The sequence below is a fragment of the Homo sapiens genome, chromosome 1 (assembly GCF_000001405.40).
Source record: "Homo sapiens chromosome 1, GRCh38.p14 Primary Assembly".
In the NCBI taxonomy this organism is placed as follows: Eukaryota; Metazoa; Chordata; class Mammalia; order Primates; family Hominidae; genus Homo; species Homo sapiens.
Window position 1 is genome coordinate 243,730,418 of NC_000001.11, and position 19,833 is coordinate 243,750,250.

The window sequence follows — 19,833 nt, forward strand, 5'->3', positions numbered from 1 at the left end:
GGCATGAAAAGGGCTGCAACACTTTCCTGGCCAACTCACCAAACTGTGGTGGTGACATGCTCCCATTTGCTGGACTGCAGGAGTGAAAAGCAGTGACACTTCTGGGGGCCGAGACATCAGGATTTCCCAAGCCAGGGCTGTAACACTATAGCCTTCCTGCCTTCTGCCTGCATTGGGCAGCTGCCCCATGTGACAGGAAGTGGCAGTGGAGCTGGGCCAGCCTGGGAGCCGCCGGCTGGGGTGAGGTGGTGGGACTGAACAAGCTGAAACCTGCTCCCCCTGCTCGCCGAGCCGCGGGTGGAGAGAATGAGAGAGCACGCCTGACCCACTCCTTGAGGCTCTGCAGTTGCTGGCGTCCCCAAGTTTTTAGGTGCCACCGCATCCCCCTTTTCCAGACACCAGCACCTGCACCAGAAACTACGTGTGGTACGCCTGCTCCAGCTGCAGCCTGGCAAGGAGCCGGCACCTCTGCCAGCACCCAGAGCTGCCTGCCCCACCACAGCTGGCCGGACCCTGTGTTAGCTCTCTCACACACCCTTCAGTGCTCTGAGCCTGGTTTGCCCTCATCAGGCGTGGGATCCGGGTTGGGCGAACTGAGTGCAGCCTGCCGGGCTGAGTGGGTGGAACGAGCACAGTGGGAGTGAGTGAAACTCAAGCAGGGGCGCCACAGGCCACAATGGTTCCCGGCTGGCAGAGTGACACCTGAAGGATCCCGTGACATTTCGATTATTTCTGCTCATAGCATAAACTCTTATATGTAAGTATCTACCACATGCCAAAATGAAAGCAAAAAATATATATAATAGCCTGCTGTAGATATATATTATGTTGTTGTAGCAGCTCATGTTTTCTACCATCCATACGTTTAAGATAAATGGCATGCAATATCACCAATAATAAGGCAATAGAGAACAAAGAGTCTGCAAGAATTTAGAAAACACTTGCTTTGATATACAGCAAGAACTAAGGGGCAAGAAGAGGTAATGGGCAAGCTCTGAGTCACTCTTACTGGATGGTCTCAGTACAGCAACAGTAACTAGGATAAGCCAAGGCGTCCTCTACACACATAGTGAGGCCAGCTTGAAACAAGGAAGTACATAGTTGCAGACTTGGAAGCTAGCCACCGCAGCTATTTAAAAATCAATAGAGAGATTATTTTTTAAACCCTCTTTATCCAAAAAGAGTGTTCTGTGAAGAGAAATAGAAGGCACTAGAAGTGACGCACTGAAAGATCTCAGTTCATGGAATGATCACATTTGTAAACTAATAGTTTGTGCCTCTTTTTAGAGTCAAAAGTCAGTAAGCTCAAGTCAGTAAGCTCTGGGTTGGAATTCCAGCTCCTGTTTATTAGCTGTGCAACCATGGACCAATGTACTTCACTAACCCTCAGAATCTTCATTTATAATTTCAGGATTATGATATTGTACTTATAGAGCTTTGAAGAGGATAAAATGAAATAAAATGGGAAAACACTCAGTGAAATGCCTCATATGTAATTACCATGTAACGGTTTTTCCTTTCTTCCTAATTTCATTTACCACCTTCACAATTTGTGTCATATTCACATGCCATCTACATTATTTACTTAATATTGTTCCTCATATAGATTTACATATTTTTTCTAAATAAATTTCGCCTCATCTTAACAACACTACCCACTGAGAGGCTGAATATAAAATGGACAACAGTGAGATCATGTATAACCACAGAACTCTGAGCCACAACCTTTGCAACCAACGCAGGATGGCAAACCACAAGCTCTGCAGCCAAGAGCCCAGAACGGTCAGGACTTGGGCAATGACAACCAAGGACCAAACAGAAAAAGCTAAGATGTTCCCCAGACCAGTCACACAAGATACCCACACTTCCAGCTTTCCCATGCCAACAGCCTTCCAACCACAGCATACCTAAAGCTGCCTCTTTCTTCCATTAAAAAGCTTCTCCACTCCCTTGCTGAGCCTACCAAAGGGAAGAGATGGTGGCTGACTGGACGTTTCTCAATCTTTGGAATTACTAAATACAGCAAATGTGTTTTTAAATAATACCCTCAGACTCTAGGTAGTCTAGAAATTTACAACACTGCTTCTTAGTGATGACGGAGTTGTTATATAACACACTGGTTCATTTAAAAGAACAGGAAAAGAGTTTGTGTACTGATAATAAAAATTTAACTCATGTTGAGAAAAATAAGTAATAAATACCAATGAACAAACAACCAGCACTCTCAAGGACTATATGGTGACACATCTATTGTTATGTGCATTTGCCAATCAGTATTGTTATGGTTCTACAAAGAATCCAGTGCACCAGACTGCAGCTAATTATGTATATTCAAGTGATTAGCAAGCACTTGTTGCCTCTTTCACACCACCCTCCAAACAGCAGCCTTTGAGAGGAGAATAGACTGCAAATTTATTGAGAGAACACTGTTAATCCTTTGGGGAGAATGTAAATGTAAACAGGACTACTCTACATCAAGGTGCTTTGACAACAACAATCATCTGCATAAACACATGCTCAACAACAAACAGGTGTTCTATTTCACAACTAGCACCCATTTGATGCTTTCAAGTAAGCATTATGCACAAACTGTTAGAAGTACTTTGAAACCAGCTGCAATTACTATAATTAGCTGCTTTCCTATACTTTGTTTCCTTTTACCTGTTCAGTACTGTGCTATGCCAATTCATACACTCCAAGTAAAATGACCAGTTCAGGACTTTTACTGGTAAGGTATGAAAAGCACACAAACTAGACTCCATTTAAACTAAGTCAACTGGAACTTTCTCCAAATATCAAAAATACTAAAGGCAAAATTCAAATACTTCTATTTTAAAATTACATTAATGAGACAAAAGATAGCTCTCTTTCAAAGCTGTTTAAAGTTTTGACTCATAAGAGACCTCAATTATTGTAGTATTAACTGACTAGAAGAGGAAAAGGGGAAATATTCTAAAAGTCTATCAATTAAAGAATAAATAAAAAGTAGTGCTACATATTCAAATGGAATACTATACAGCAGCTAAAAGGCATAACCTACCAATAGCTTTAGCTACAGCTGTAACTACATTGCACACGGACAGAGCACAAAAACAATATTAAGTGAAAAAAGGAAAATTTCAGAATGCCAATAAGTATAAGCTAACAATCATAAACATATGTAGTGACCAAATCAAAATCTATATACAAGTTATATCTCAGAGACCTTTTGGGTTCAGTTACAGACCTCTACAATAAATATGGCAATAAAACAAGTTATATGAAATTCTGGTTTCCCAGCTCATATAAAAGTTATATTTACACTACACTATAGTCTATTAAATGTGCAATAGCATTATGTCTTTTAAAAAGTACGTATCTTAATTAAAAACATTATTGCTAAAAATGCTAATCAAGTGAGCATATGCTGTTGGAAAAAATGACACAGATAGACTTGCTCAACAGAGTTGCCACAAACCTTCAATTTGTACAAAATGCAATATGTGCAAAGTGCAATTAAACAAAGCACAATAAACTGAGGTACAACTGTAACCATTAGCCTAATTCTAAAACCAAAATTTTCAAATGTATTAATATAAATCTCAGAAAATCCAAAAGTCAAATATGGCATGAACTCTCAACAGAAAAAAATTAGCTAATTCTCTTAAATCCAATCCAATGATAAACACACTGTCAAGTCCATGAGGGCTGTGACTATTTCAGCACTGTGTACTGCTGTATCTCCTGTACCTCACTGGCACTTCCAGTAAGTAATATTTCATCAATAAAGTATTTATGAAGGAGTGAATCAATGTATGTATGAATGTGTAAATGAGTGCACAAATCAAAGTTCACAAATAAACTGAAACACTGAAGTATTGTTTAAAAATATACAGTGTGAACTATAAAAAGGAAAAAGAATACCAGGTCACATTACTCCATTACAGTCATGCATTGCTTAATGATGGGGATACATTCTGAGAAATGCATCATTAGGCAATTTCCTCACTGAGTGAACATCATAGAAACACCTAGTTTTTAGGCTACAAATCTGAACATGTTACTGTACTGAATACGCAGTTCTAACACAATGGTATCTGTGTATCTAGACAAATCTAAACATAGAGAAGGTACAGTAAAAATACAGTACACAGGGTAAAAAAAAAAGTGGCACACCTCTATAGGGCACTTACCACGAATGGGGCTTGTAGGACTAGAAGTGACTCTGGGTGAATCACTGGTGAGTGAATATGAAGGTCTAGTATATTACTGTAGACTACTGTGGACTTCATAAACACCGTACACTTAGGCTACAATAACAAAATATTTTTCTTTCTTCAATAATAAATTCAGCTTACTATAACTTTTTTACTTCATAAACTGTTTAATTTTGTAGCTTTTTGACTCTTGCAGTAACACAGCTTAAAGCACAAATACACTGTACAGCTGTACAAAAGTATTTTCTTTATATCCTTATTCCATAAGCTTTTTTCTACTTAAATTTTTTTTACCTTTTTTGTTAAAAACTTAGATATAAACATACATATTAGCCTAGACCTACACGGGGTCAGGATCATCAATATCATTGTCCTCCTCCACATCTTGTCCCAGTGGAGGGCTTTTGGGGGCAATAATGTGCATGGGGCTGCCATCTCCAATAACAACGCCTTCTTCTGTAACACCTCCTGAAGGACCTGCATGAGACTGTTTTACAGTTAACCTTTAAAAAAGAAAATAAAGCAGAGAGAGTACACTCTGAAATGACAACAGTATAATAAATACATAAACCAGTAACACGGTCATTTATTATCATTATCAAGTACTATGTACTGTATATAATTGTATGTGCTACACTTTTGTACAAAACTGGCAATGCAATAGGTTGGTTTACACCACCATCACCATAAAAACGTAATGCATTGTGCTATGATGTTACATCACTAGGCAATAAGAATTTTTTAGTTCCATTATAATCTTATGGGATCGCTGTCATATATGCAGTCCATCATTGACTGAAACATCATTCTGCACCACATGACTATTTTTCAACATGTTTCTAAAAATATCATCTAAGTATGATATTTGAAACTTTAACTGGCTACTCATACCAAAAGCAATTTGTAACATTACTTTATACCCAGAAAAATATTTCGTTGCGTTTCCTCTCATAACATTTTCCACCATTTTTATTAGAGACTACTGTAACATACCTAGCAACAAACGTTAGCATGAGTAGCCAGCTCTTACTATCAGTCATCACCAGTCATTCTCATAGTTGATATGAGTTGTCCAACTATTTCCATCTTTTTATTAGATAGCTGCAAAAGTGGGTGCATGCTCACCACAATCACCTGTGGGAAACAAATGTAAACCCAACTGATGGGTCAAACTGTAGAGGAGAGAAGCCAATGACAGGTATTTGAGACAATGCCATGGAAGAATAAATAGAATGGGAGAATGAATTTGAAGTTCAAAGTATGTATTTCAAATATTATTAAAAAGTAAAATTATTCTTCCTTGTGCTAGTGCTAAACACAAAATACATCCTAAATAAATATTAAGTACAGTGGTAAGTAATTTAGGGGGAGATGCATTTAGCTTTGGTTATATTTAGCCTAAACCATCTGCCACATACTTTTTTTAATCTGTAAAAATAAGAAAATGCAAGTGCTAGACAGAAAGCTTGAGATGGGGGTAAAAAGTATATGCTTTGTAGTCAAATACATGGATTCAAATCCTGGCTCTGCCACTTATTATCAGTGTAACCTGGATAACAATCCCTCTGAAACTCCCATTTCACTAGAAAACTGGATGATAATAATTTGGTAACACCTACCACAGAAAGTTGTTCTAAAGCTTAGGTTATTTTATATAAACCAATTAGCATAGTGCCTGGCACATACCATAGTGAGTAATCAATGTTAGAAATTACAATTACCAATCATTGTCTTAGTGATAAATCAACATTCAGATTCCAAAAACCTGGGGTCAAGAAAAACATAAAAGGCCTTAAATGGCTGTACTTGATGCCCACTGTTAATGGAATTTACTAGAAAGAAAGGAACTAAAGAAGGCTGAAGGAATCATAGTCCTGGAAGAAAATGAGAAGCAAGAATTAGAAAAAAGAATGGCCCTACCAATAAAGGTTTAAAAGTCAGAAAAATAACAGCTATAGAGGTATTTTGTTCTTAAAGCTATTTCAAAGGCAAACCAAAACAAGAATGAAGTGAATGGTATTATACAGCAATCTTAAAGAAATTAGGAGCCTTGCAAGTACTAAGTTCGAAGATAAAGAAATGGAAGCCTAACAAAATGAGAAAGTCAAGGCATATGCTGATTTGAAACAAAACAGACGTACTAAGACTTTGCTTAAGATTCATCTACTTTAAAACACCTCAAAGTCCACGTAACTTCATCCAGATGTATGCCACCCCTATATTGCTATTTTCTTTCCACCTTCCCAACAGATAACAGCCATGCAACTGGCATTTCATAGACACAAGTATTTGCTGAATAAATGAACCGTCACACACAAATAACATATGTAAATTATCTGAACATAGAGCAATCTTTCCAGCATCATTTCTCACTAGTCCCTTTCTCACAGAATCCCTCAAACCCTACTAATCTACTTTCACTTCCAGAAAGGTGCAAGAGTCCTTTCTGTCACACTTTTGCTGGTCCCTCTTCCCATAACCTGCTTCCATTCACAGTGTACCAGGCAACTCTTACTCTACCTTCGGATCTCAGCTTCAAGCTCAAAACTTCTAGAAAGCCTTTCTTGGCTCTATCATACACAAAATGTGAGTTTGGACAAGTCACTTTATTTCTCTGTGCCTCATACTCATCTGCAAAATGGGGGTGATAGCGCTTTCCTCATAAGGTTGCTATGAGAATTAAATGAGATTAATTCAGGTAAAACACCTAAAATAGTGCTTGGCGTGTAGTAACAGCTCAGTAAGGCATGGGTGTAATTGTTATTCCCTGACTCCTAAATCCAGGTTAGGAGCCCCTTCTGTTATTCCTTCTTCTTCTTCTTACTAGTATTCCCTTTCCCTACCACAGCATTTATCAAAGTGTGGGTTCTACAATGTTTTGCTAAGAAAGATGAAAAGTAGAAAGAAAAGAACTAATGAAGAAGTAGAAAGCAAAAGAAAAAGTGAGCACTCAATACAGGGATGAACAAACAAAAGAAAGTGAAAAGGAGAAAAGGGACAGGGTAGACTTCCTTAAGATATTAGTAAAATAAAGCAATTCTTGTTTTAAGGATTTCAGTAGCTTTCCTCTTGAGCCAAAAATTCTACAATAAATAGGACAACTATGAGAATCCACAGGGAGAAGTCATTGGATGGCAATGATTAGAACAATATTTTGTTATAAATCAGATGAAATAAAATCAGGAGCAAAAAGGATTTCCCATCTAATCTAGAATAAAAATCACATATAAAATTGATCTAGACTAAAGTAGGATGCACTTGTAAATTATGAAAAGATTCCAAAACATTGAAGTACTGTGGTCTCTTCCTACAAATTAACTGTTCATTTTAAAGTAATATAGGATGGCATTATGACTGAAGATAACTAATATACTCAAATTGCACCGACTACATCCCTGGCCCAGAGAAGTTAAAACAGAAGAAAGCAACAATGACTAGACTCTTCACCAAAAAAGAAATGTTTGTTTTTGCAGGTTAGCTCCACCATTTTTTTCACATTTGCATCCTAATAGTTCTACTTGGTCTCTCCATTATGCAACAGTTCTTTACAATACAGCCAGCTACCCTGACAACTGGGTTCCTTTGCCAGGGTGGCTTTGTCTAAATCCTAAAGCTGTGCTTGGCTTTGCACTGAGCCCAGTGGCTGCCTGTGATCTGAATGCCAATGAAGACTACAGACCCTGTTGTCTAACAAGCCAGAGACTAAAAGGTCTCTTTGGGGTCAACAAACTGTCTCGACTACTTTCATAAGCTTAAGAGACTGGAAAATGAAGCTAGAAATGCATCTTATTTCTTAGGAGGACAATGGGGGAAAGTATTAAACGTTTAACATTCATCAGATACTGTTAGGGCTTCAACTTTAGGGAGGTGTCTAGTAAACCTTCACATGTAAATAAAGTACTTGTTCTTTTAAGAAGGAATAAGCTTCATCTTAAAGAAAATGTAAATAAATTTTATATTATCAAATTTGAAAATGTTTAGAGAATTTATGTGCTCAAAAGTATACATAAATGTCTCCAGTCCCACTTCCCACTTAGTACTCGTTGAGGATGAACAGATAATGACACGGAAATAAAGATGGTAAACCATTACACACTGTAAAATTTAGTGTTCAGTTACAATCTAAGAAATGCAAAACTATGTAACTCTAAAGAAGCAATTAGGTAGTATATACTAAAAAGCAAACATTAAAAATGCTAAAATCCAATGGTAGAAGAATATTGTTTTAACTACATTATTTTAGTTTGTCAATAAAAAATAACATGCATTGTTTTTGCTTGTTTACATGTCTGAATCTGCCATTCCGCTACCATACATTTTCTTGTATTTTTGTGCTTGGAGGCTCCCTTTTCCTTCTTTATAACGAATTCACCATCTCTCATTTAATCAAATGGCAAATCCTATGTTTTATTTCCTAGATCACTCTCAAACCTTATGCTTTTGCCACAACCCTAGCACAGATCATGGTGATCTCTCATCTAGATTCCTATGAGAGCCTCTGAACTGGAATCTGGCCGGAGTAGTCCAATAAGACACATAATGTGACACATACATGTAATTTTAAATTTTCTAAAAGCCATACATAAAAGAGCAAAAAGAAAGAGTAAAATTTAACTGAATAATATATTTAACCAAGTATATCCAAAATATGATCATTTCAACATATAACCATAGAAAAAATTGAGATATTTTACATTCTTGTTTTTTATATCTTGAACTCAAAATCCAGTGTGAATTTTACACCTATAATATAGGTCAATTCGCACTCTAAATTTTCAATAACTTATGTGAAATGTAGTCCAATCAAAATACTAAAGTTAAAGGAAAACATATTGTTTAAAATTTTAAGTTAAATTTTTAAATCAAAATTAACAAAAATGTAAAACTCACTCCTCATCACACTAGTTACCTTTCAAGTGCTCAACAGCCACTTTGGCCCATGGCTACTTTGTTGAACAGTACAAATGTAGGTCTTCAATTTTTGCCTCTTCTAACCTAGACTGAACATATTCAAAAACAGAGATCATTCACATCATCTTATGGCTTTAAAGCCCCTCAACCACGTCCTGCTGATCTGACAAAACCCAAGTGCTTACACAGGTTTTGCAACCTAGGCTCCCTCCTCCTTTTCCAGCCTCAGCTATCTATCTCCATTTTCCCCTTACACTCTGTTCCCCAGATAAACAATGCTTTCCCCAAATCCCGGAACATGCTGAACTTTGTCCCCTTTGGCATGTGCTGCTAGTCCCTCAGGTTTCAAATTAGAAATCACTTTTTCTTTTTAGAGCCCTTTCTGTTACACAGCACAAGCTCTTGTGAGGGTAAGAACTGGATCACTATTGCTCATTATTGTATCCCCAGCATTTATCAAAATGCCTCATATTTTGTAGGCACTCAAAAAATATGAATCAATCCACAGAGTAATCTTAGCTGCCCAAAATAGGCCAAAGGCATGTCCTCATGTCAACACATGTGGCCGGAAGAGAAGGGTCTTCCTGGGAGCTCATTACATGGTTTTACTATCACTAACCAAAAAATGAGAGAAACTACGCCAAAATTAGCACCAAAACACTTAGACTCTCAAGTTTGGAAAATGCAGTACAAAGTAATACTTTGTGTTTTATAGGTTCTTTTGAGTCCACTGGAAAGGCAGTATACCTGAGTAACAGAGTAAATTCTAGTGTCAAGGGACTTGTGAGAAAAGCGTTTGCCCCCCTTCTTACAAGGAGAGCTCATTAGTATTATTTCAGGTTTCTTTCTCTCCCTTTACTCCCTCTAATTCTGGTAAGATGGAGTATTTTAATCTGGTGAAAAACTGGTGAGGAAAAATCCTTGGTATGCAGGATTCTGCTGGGCCCCTTTTCTTCCTGTTGAAACTAGTAGGCTGCAGAAAATGCAAATGTGTCTTTTTCCTCTATGCAAGAGATCAGCAAACTACAAAAGGCTGATGCCTATTTTTCTAAATAAAGTTTTATTGGAACACTCATTAGCTTACCTGTTGTCTATGGCTGTTTTCTTGCATCACAATCACAGAGTAGCTACAATTGCAACAAAAACCATAAAGATCCCTGCTCTATGGCACTGTCTTATTTATATTACCTGAAGAGTGCTTGAAAAAGTTGGCCTGGTTCTGCAATTCAATCAGCAGGTCATTTGGCTCTCAAACTCAGACCTCCACTTGGACTTTTATCATTAGTAGGTACGTTCTGGCCTCTATCTTTACTCTTCATTTTGTATCTGGTATTGTACAAAGGCCAGGTAGGAAAGAATGACTTATGCCATGACCTCTAGAAACCCCAATCCTTCATCTACATAAAATTTCCAGGCATGTTTATTAAGTTCTAGGGTATAAAATTTCAGGGGAGGGGTCTCATCAAATATTTGTTCAAGCTATGAAATACCTGGAAATCTGATTTTTGAAGAAGTGTTAGCCCTACATCTGGGAAATTTATATCATTAATGTTAACTTCATCACATATATAACTGTATGTTCCATATATCGTCAATAAAGAACACTAACAGTATAAACTCCAGCCTAGTTCTTCAAAGACTTTTAGTATTTTCATGATAGGACCTTTGTTTCATGCAAGCACGTACCTGTATTCTGGGCAGAAATTTTGTTAGTCTTTGTTGATTTTTGTTTCCTTGTTTCTCTGTTTCTCTCTCAAAACAAATCCACATTACCCAAAAAGTGACACTGAATCACCCATTTCCAGTAACACTAATAAATAATTATTCCAATACTTTATTAAGAAGCATTCACCTTTTTCTCATGCCAATGTTTTTAAAAATAGAACTTTTTTACAGTGACCATTCTATCATACATATTTGTAAAAATATACATGTAAGAATATTAATCTTGGCAATAACTATAAGGAGTTAAAGAGAGGGAATCAAGATTTCCCTTGTAAGTTTATAAGACATAGTCCAACAATAATCTTATATAAGCTATTTTAATTAGGTCAATGAGAGTGTTGCATATTTTCATAACATGCTTTTTATTCATTTCAATTTCTTAACCAGCTTTGTTCCATTTAAGATCATTTCCTTGCGCTAAACATCTCACATTTCCAAATTTCCTATAATAAAAAGTTGCTTAAGTAATTTAATAGAACAAGACTAGCAGACATGATAAAACATAAAATACTTCCTACCTTGGTACAAACTCAGGCTTACTTTTGGTTGCTGGGAATTCTAAAATGAAACCAAGAAACAGCTTTTCCAAAAAATTACTTTTGTGCAAAGAATTAGAAATTAAACATGAAAAGGACTTTATTTTTCTCAATATTTTTATTCCAATTAGACTATGAGTAATCTGTGTATTAACAGTATTCAAAAAAATACCTGTAAACTACAGTATTTTTCCATAATCCTCAGTTTGTGATAGGCCATTCTGAACCCATGAGTTTCTCATCCACAGATTCAAACAACTACAGATAGAAAATTAAAAAAAAAAAAAAAAAACAGTAAAAAATAACAATAGAACAATATATGCAAATGTTACACCATTGTATATAAGGGACTTGAGCATCCTTGGAATTTGGTATCCACAAGGGACCTAGAACCAATCCCCTGTGGATACCAAGGGGCCACTATGTCTGTGTCATATGCCTCTCTGATAGTTACCACCTTTCTAAATTGAAAATTTTTTTAAAAAAGCAAAACTAGTTAAAATCATTTTAATGTTATAAAAAGAATCGGATTTTATGTAAATAATAAATATACTCAGAGGTCAGGCATGGTGGTTCACACCTGTAATCCCAGCACTTTGGGAAGCTGAGGCAGGCGATCACCTAAGGTCAGGAGTTCAAGACCAGCCTGGCCAATATGGCGAAACCCCGTCGCTACTAAAAATACAAAAATTAGCCGGGCATGGTGCTGGGTGTCTGTAATTCCAGCTACTTGGGAGGCTGAGGCAGGATAATCACTTGAACCCAGGAGGTGGAGGTTGCAGTGAGTCGAGACGGCACCACTGCACTCCAGCCTGGGCGACAGAGCGAGACTCCATCTCAATAAATAAATAAAACTCTGATAATCAGAAACCTTAAACATTTCTTTTTGTGAAAGTTTTCTTCTCATTTGGTAGAATGATAAAACAAACGTTTGTCCTTTTTCATTTTCCCATCATAAACCGATTTCTCCTCATAAGAATATTCTCCAAACCCTAGTCTTTTTTAAAAGCAGCACTCTCCTCACAAAAAATTATGGGCATAAAAATACTTCAGGGGCTCCAGGGTATCTTTTTTTTTTTTTAATGTGTAGACCATTTACGAAAATGAAACTCTGTTAGGTTACTTAACATTGACTGCAACAACAAACACTAGCTTATTACATAAACTTTAGAACATGTACATGTTCACCACTGCAACAGAAGAGGTCAGAAGGAGGTAGCTCTTAACTGACTCAGGCCAAAGTGACACATACTATTTTCACTCCCAATTCACTGGCCAGAAATTAGTCACATAGATCCAAAGGAAGTGCACGGAAGGCTCGAAAATGTAGGAGCACATAGAAAAGTTGGTCTCCATCTCAAAAACAGCTCTAAAATACTGCTCAAGAATCTTCCAAACTCTGTGTTCAATGATAAGGTTGTAATTGGCCGGTAAACCTAAAATTAGGCAGATCAACTTTTAATTATACCCTCTACAATGCCTAATAATTTTACCCTGGAAGAAAAACTTTGTATATAAGGGACTTGACCATCCTGGCAAAGAAATTTCCTGGAGAAGACTTCCCTGGAAGGAAAAACCACTGTTTGTTTAAAACACTTCATTTTTTCTAGTCTTGTTTTCAAAAATACTATGAATAAATAGTCTTAATAACACTCAGAAGGTAGCATTTGAAATCAATTCCATGGTTTGAAATACATAGTTTTATTAAGGAAAAAAATATTTTCAAAGAATTTCACAACTTATCAAATACAGAGATAGACTGAATGATTATGCCAAATGTTTTAGAAAATAACTAATTTACAACAGCCCTTCTTAACATAGGAAAGTTTAATATTTTAAAATGCAAGTGTCATAAAATTTTTTTAGTACTCCAAATGAATAGTAAATATATGAAAAAGAGTTCTACTTCATTAGTTATCAGGGGAATACAAATTAAAACCACATTACTGGCCAAGGTTGATGCTACACCTGTCATGCCTGTAATCCCAGCACTTTGGAAGGATTGCTTACACCCAGGAGTTTAAGACCAGCCTCAGCAACCATAGGAAGAGGCCCATCTCTACCAACAATATCACCAAGTGTTGGTGAAGATATAGAACAAATGAAACTTACAAACTGCTGCTGGAATATAAAGAATAAACACTTAAGGAAAGCATCTAGCAGCATCTACAAAAGTTGAACATATGCACGTTCTATGATCCAGCAGCCCCACTTCTAGGTACATAGCCAACAGAAATGTGTATGTATGCACACCCAAAGACATACAGCCAAAATGTAAAAACAAAACAAATCCAAAAATAGAACAGATAAACTAGGGTCTAGTCATGCAGTGGAAATATAATACAGCAATGGGCCTGAATGAACTGTTAGTACAAACAACAACATCAATAAATCTCACAAATAAAATTTTGAAAAAGCCGCCATATGATTTCATACTCAAAAGCAGGCAAAACTAATATATGCTGTAGAAGTCATCCTGTTTGCTTGGTGGGACATAGTGACTGTAAGGGTAGAGGAAGGGAAGGCTTATAAGGTAGTGGTAATATTGTTTTTTAAATATAGGTGTTACATGGTGTGCTTACTTCATGAATATTTACAGAGCCGTATTCTTATGATTCTTTCACTTTTATGTATCTCATACTTTAAGAAAAAGTTTACCTTAAAAAATTATTGGCCGGGCGCGGTGGCTCACGCCTGTAATCCCAGCACTTTGGGAGGCCGAGGCGGGTGGATCACGAGGTCAGGAGATCGAGACCATCCCGGCTAAAACGGTGAAACCCCGTCTCTACTAAAAATACAAAAAATTAGCCGGGCGTAGTGGCGGGCGCCTGTAGTCCCAGCTACTTGGGAGGCTGAGGCAGGAGAATGGCGTGAACCCGGGAGGCGGAGCTTGCAGTGAGCCGAGATCGCGCCCCTGCACTCCAGCCTGGGTGACAGAGCGAGACTCCGTCTCAAAAAAAAAAAAAAAAAAAAAATTATTATACATAACAGAAATAGACTCTCTTGATTGATCACATTTTACACCACCAACTATTAGTTCCAGTATTCTTTACTATGTTCAGTGGTAATTTCTGAAATGGCTATTCTCATCACCATGAGGGGATCTCATTTGTGATCACTGTATTCATGAGTCCTTGGCTCATTAAAAAAAAAAAATTGTTTTAATTTCTCAAAAAGATGTTCTTTTACAAGTAATGGGGGAGATTTTAAATTTTCCTGTTATGATCTTACTGAAGCTCTCAGTTCTAAAATAAAAGTAGGCTGGGGGCAGTGGCTCAGGCCTGTAATCCTAGCAGGATTTTTTTGGGGTGGGGAGGCTGAGGCAAGAGGATCACTTGAGCCCAGGAGTTCAAGACCAGCCTGGGCAATATGGTAAGCCCGTCCTCTACGGAAAATTTAAAAATTAGCCCGGCGTGGTGGTGTGCACCTGTACAGTCCCAGCTACTCAAGAGGCTGAGGTGGAAGGATTACTTGAGCCCAGGAGGTTGAGGTTGCAGTGAGCTATGATCATGCCACTGCACTCCAGCCTGGGCAACAGAGGGAGATCCTGTCTCAAAAATAAAATAAGAGTATTGGGCATATCAATTTTTAAGAAAACGAGATATGATGTCAAAATTATTTATTTTAAAATGATCAGAGCATACTAAAAACATGTATGGATTTAGAGATGATTTTGGTCAATCCTCCTTATTTTACAAAAACAGGAAAAGTGATTTGCCCAGGGTCACAAAAGTATGTGGTAATAGATGATATTAGTCAGTACTCAGCTCTCTGGAATGAGAATTTGTCCCTATTCCCTTTAAACCAAGCTTGTCCAACCTGTGACCCTCAGGCCACATGCAGCCCAGAACAGCTTTGAATGCGCCTCAACACAATTCACGAGCTTAAAACATTATAGGATTTATTTTGATTTTTTTTTAGCTCATCGTGTGGCCCAAGACAATTCCTCTTCCAATGTGTCCCAGGGAAGTCAAAAGACTGGACACCCCTGCTAAACCATTCTGCTGCTCATTTTATCACTGGCACTAGGAATGGAGGTTTTATTATGCAAAGGAATTTCCGATACATGCCTTTGAAGTTGGATTTAATTAATTCAAGACACATAATTATATAAAGTGAGCATCTGCAGTACCCGTAGTATTCATCCTGAAAATAGTTTCCAAAACTCAATGCATTCAGAACTTCAAAAAAATTAATGTAGCAAAATCTGCATTAACTCTAAAATTCAGCTTTAATGCAGGTATCAAAAACTTCAAAAAAACAAATTCCCTATGTGGAATCAAAAAGATCTTTCAGGTTCATTCGATGATTTTTTACTTTGCTTTGTTTCTGTTTCCATTTAGCCCTATTTTAATGCTTATTTTACTAAACTCAAACATAGGGAGTACTTTATTTTCTAACATGTTTGTCTCCGTATGTTTTTTTCAATAATTTAACGTCCATTTCTAACTTGCCTATCAGTCCCAGGTCTTTTTAGATCTTTCTCAATTATGGTTGTTATTTTCATAATATCTAAATCATATCATATGTAATTGTTCTATTAAAATGTATTCTGTCTTTACATTTCAATGAGCTAAACATGCTTTATCTTGAGTGATAAATGTTTTTTCCCCTAAATAATACCAACATAAGCCTATACTTGATACAGCCAGTTAAAGTTAGAACAAAAACTTTAGAGAAAATTTCTGGTCAATTAGTGTGTCACTGAGTTAATGAATCATTTAATTACCACTTGCTTGGGTTATTTGTCCCCTCACTTTATCAATAAAGAACACAGTATGACATAAGAAACTTCCAAGTTTGAACTAAGTCACAGCCAGGACCTCTGATTTCTAATGTACCTGAAACTAACATACTCTACAGAAAAGATGAGGGGTCTCATAACCTCTGCATATTCAATGCTTTCATATTCAATTGTTTGTTTTTAAAGAAATTAGTTTATTAGAGACAGAGAGAGAACGAATCTTTCCCTTGATAATCTCCACTAAACTTTATAAATATGCTTAGAATGGAAATGAATGAGAAGAAACAGAGGATGAAGGAGACATCAGAAATTTTCAGCCCTGTGTTTTACCTCTGGAGAATTCTTATTGTCATGAAGAACATGAACATGGGGGGTGGGGGGCAGTACAGGAAAGGAACAACTGCAAGCTGCCATGCTGAGTTTAACAACAATCATCAAAAGGGGCTTTGGGAGCTCACCAGCTGCAAAGTTTTTGTATTAGGCTGTGATTCCATTGGGAGGATGGGAGCCCCTAAATAATGATGTCAAAGGGGTTTTTACATGCCCAGGAAGCTATTTCAAGCAAACAAAAATCTACATTTATTCCTAATGGAGGTTAAGGCCTTTGGGGATTAGAGATAGAGAGTGTAGATGGCTATTATCTAAATAAACTTACTGTTCCTAGCACAACAAAGGAATATATTCCTAAAAAGAAATATAGGATATTATTTTCACCGTAAAACTGCAAAGAAATGAACACTTTTTCCAAGAACAAACAAAAATGTCAGAAGTTTCATTTTGAAAGTTATACGGCAAAGTGAATTTGAGAATTAAAAGGGAATTAGAGGATAATTTCAAGAGGAATTTCATTAACGGAGATTTCTGCATCATATTTTCATGCTTTTTTTATTATAGAGTGTAATTCTTAATGACTGCTTCAACAAAATTTGGGGAAAGTAAAATTACATTGCCATTGCTGCTAAGTTGTAACTGACCTTCTCTCTTGTACTTGTATTCTACCCAGTACAGCCCAGTAAATGCAGCATGTTCACGTTCACTTGTCCAAAGCAAAATGACTTCTTTCCCAAGACACAATGAAGAGATTAAAGGGAGATATCTTCAATGAACAGACCAAAATGTCACCTAACAACATGCTTAGTAAATAGGTACCTTTGCAAATGAAACTCTTAGTATCACATTGGGAATTACCATAGAAAACCACATTAAACTTATTGTAAACTGACTTTATCCATAAACACAAAAAAAATCAAAAGGGATAAATGTAAGACAGTTCACTTAAGACATAGTATAGGTTTCTTGCAAACATGGCTAAAAATTACTTAACACCATAATGAATAACAAGGATCGGTAAGAGTCAGTAATGAAACGATGTCTGAAGCAAGCACTGAAATATACCTAGGCATAGCACATGCAAAAAATGTGATGCTATGCTTTTTCAACCATAATGACCTGTAAATTGTTTTATACTAAGGCCCAACGGTTCTAGCAATGCTGTATAATCTCACATCTTTCCCCTGTCAAATGAAGAAAAAATTAAAAGATACACAAACATAAATATATCTTTTAAAACATATAGCATGCCTGGGTATTGTTTATATGATTCAGTGGAAATCAACATGGTTTGCTGGTGTGTCTGGTTTTTTGTGTTTTAATATTTATATTGCATAGCTATCCAAAATTGTTCAGAGTTTTGAAAGAACCAAGTTGTAAAAAATTGTGGATAGGCAGGAATTCTGACAAGCTTTCTAAACATGACCCTTTATTTCAACATGAAGATAAAGAGGCAAAGCTATACTGATTGAACAGAAAACAAGAATGGGACTTAAAAAAAAAAACAAGAGTTGGATAGACAGTGTTCTTCCTTCTAGTTGATAGGAAGGCCACACAGTGTAAAACTATACTCACAACTTTGGTGTTCACATGCACAATCTTCACCACTTAGAAAGAAGCAGCTTTATTAGTGCTTATAAAAATTCATTAGTCCCTATAAAACCAGAACCAATTCAGCAGATAAGTAAATAAAACAATATAAAGAAAATAAATTCACAAACTTTAATGTAGAATTTCAGAAAATGTTAAAGTTCACTGAGAAATACTATTTAGTGTGATTAAGATAATAAAAATAAATCAATAATGCAAACACAGTATTAATAACTTGAAGTTTTCAAATTTGAGAGGTTTTGTTCTCATGAGAATATTCTCTCAAAAGTAGTTTAGTTATATGAATAAGATTTCTGGATAATAATTGATCTGCATAGGCTATTAAAAATTGCCTGTTTATACAGGTCTGACTTTCAAAGCCCCAATCTTGAGTACGTGTCAAGGTTAGCCTTACCATACGAATCAGAGTGACATCTAGTGGCAACTCCATTGAAGTACTACTTGGTACTTCATCTGTTGTAAATACAAATGAACAGTACCTAGCATATGGCAGGCCCTCACACACTGTTGCATGAATACTTTAATATTTTAAGCTAATATTATAATTTCCTCAGTTCTACTGAACTTCCTCCTTCCTTTTCCTTACCACTTCTAGTCCTTCATTCTCTCCCTATTTTCTCAGTTGAAAAGTTCCCTTCTACTTGTCTCATTCTATGGAATCCCTGATCATTCTATATTTTTCTAATCCACTTTTTCTTTCATTATACACATCTTATCAGTCTCCATCCTAGGTATATGATATAATCCATTTTATGTGGAACTCTTCTGAGTACTGCTATACTAAATCACGAAACTAAACCAAATAAATCTATCATAATTCATGCAAACCTGGGAAATTATTTCATTCATCTCTAGTTGACTTGATCATGATTGTTTTCTAAAGGAATCATGCCACATCTTCTTTATCCCTCTTCAAACCCCTCTCCCCCAACCCCATCTTTCTCATTTTATAATATCCCTACTTCCTAGAAAGCAGGGAAACCATTAAACGTGAATAACTTCAACTTCCCAGCTCTCTACTTCAAACATTCAGAATACCCCCTTTACTTATAACAAAGGAAGTCATATACATTCTAGTTTTCAAGAACTAACCCCTCTTTCTTGTGTCCCATCTTTACTGTCATCTAAGATTTGATTATGTCAAATGATGAATCTCTCTCTTGGATCTTTCTGAATTTCCCTCTGTATTTTGACTCCATTCCTTCAACCTATGAATATGCTCAAAACATCCCATCCAAAAATCATCTTTCTTTGGCTTGCTGTAATCTATTTTCTTTCCTTTTATCAAAAAATAACTCAGAAGAAAAATCTATGATTACTGTCTCCATTTCTTCAGTATCCATTCACTCTTCAACTCCTGCCAATTTGCTATTTACCATCACTACTACTGATCTCCACAAAGTCACCAATGAGGTTATCAGTGGCCTCTTTACAGGCCTTGTTGTCCTTGAATCCTGAAATAATGCTGTAATAATTGCTCTTGCTTGGCATCTAAAGTGAAGTGATCTTTTTATTCTCTTCCAATCTCCCTCATAACTCCTTCTCTGCTTTCTTCTCCTTCTCATATAGGCTAAATGCAATATGGCCTCATATATACTTGAGCAAATAAAGAGGCGAAGTCATGCTTTTATAAAGAAAGTGCTTCAGTTTCTAAATAGAAATTGATTTGCCTATGAATTTAGCTCAAAATTATGTACTGCTTAATACCCTCCTTTCCTTCAAAGTAATGCTTTAACCCTACTTGGTTAAATTTGCCCCAATTATTTCAAATCATAATTCA

At 36.4% G+C, this 19,833-nt stretch overlaps 1 protein-coding gene across 12 annotated transcripts in view, besides 1 other annotated feature; it reads right to left on the bottom strand.

The window, feature by feature from the left end:
* Window positions 1-19,833, bottom strand: part of AKT3 (AKT serine/threonine kinase 3) — a 362,847-nt gene that overhangs the window by 242,185 nt on the left and 100,829 nt on the right. For 2 of the 12 annotated variants that reach the window (XM_047417359.1, XM_047424332.1), the window contains exons 3-4: window positions 11,541-11,626; window positions 9,106-11,390 (exon numbers count right to left, since the gene is read on the bottom strand). The exons of 7 other annotated variants lie outside the window; for them this stretch is intronic. The gene's annotated coding sequence lies outside the window, so the exon portion shown is untranslated. The remainder of the gene's footprint in view (window positions 1-9,105; window positions 11,391-11,540; window positions 11,627-19,833) is intronic. 3 more of the 12 variants (XM_047422391.1, XM_047419186.1, XM_047420641.1) reach the window with 3 other exon arrangements.
* Window positions 9,908-10,409: an enhancer, noted in NCBI's record as "NANOG hESC enhancer chr1:243903627-243904128 (GRCh37/hg19 assembly coordinates)". NCBI's record gives its function as "activates a minimal SCP1, AML or CMV promoter by ChIP-STARR-seq in primed H9 embryonic stem cells {active_cell/tissue: H9 hESC(primed)}" and the evidence as "EXISTENCE:reporter gene assay evidence [ECO:0000049][PMID:30033119]".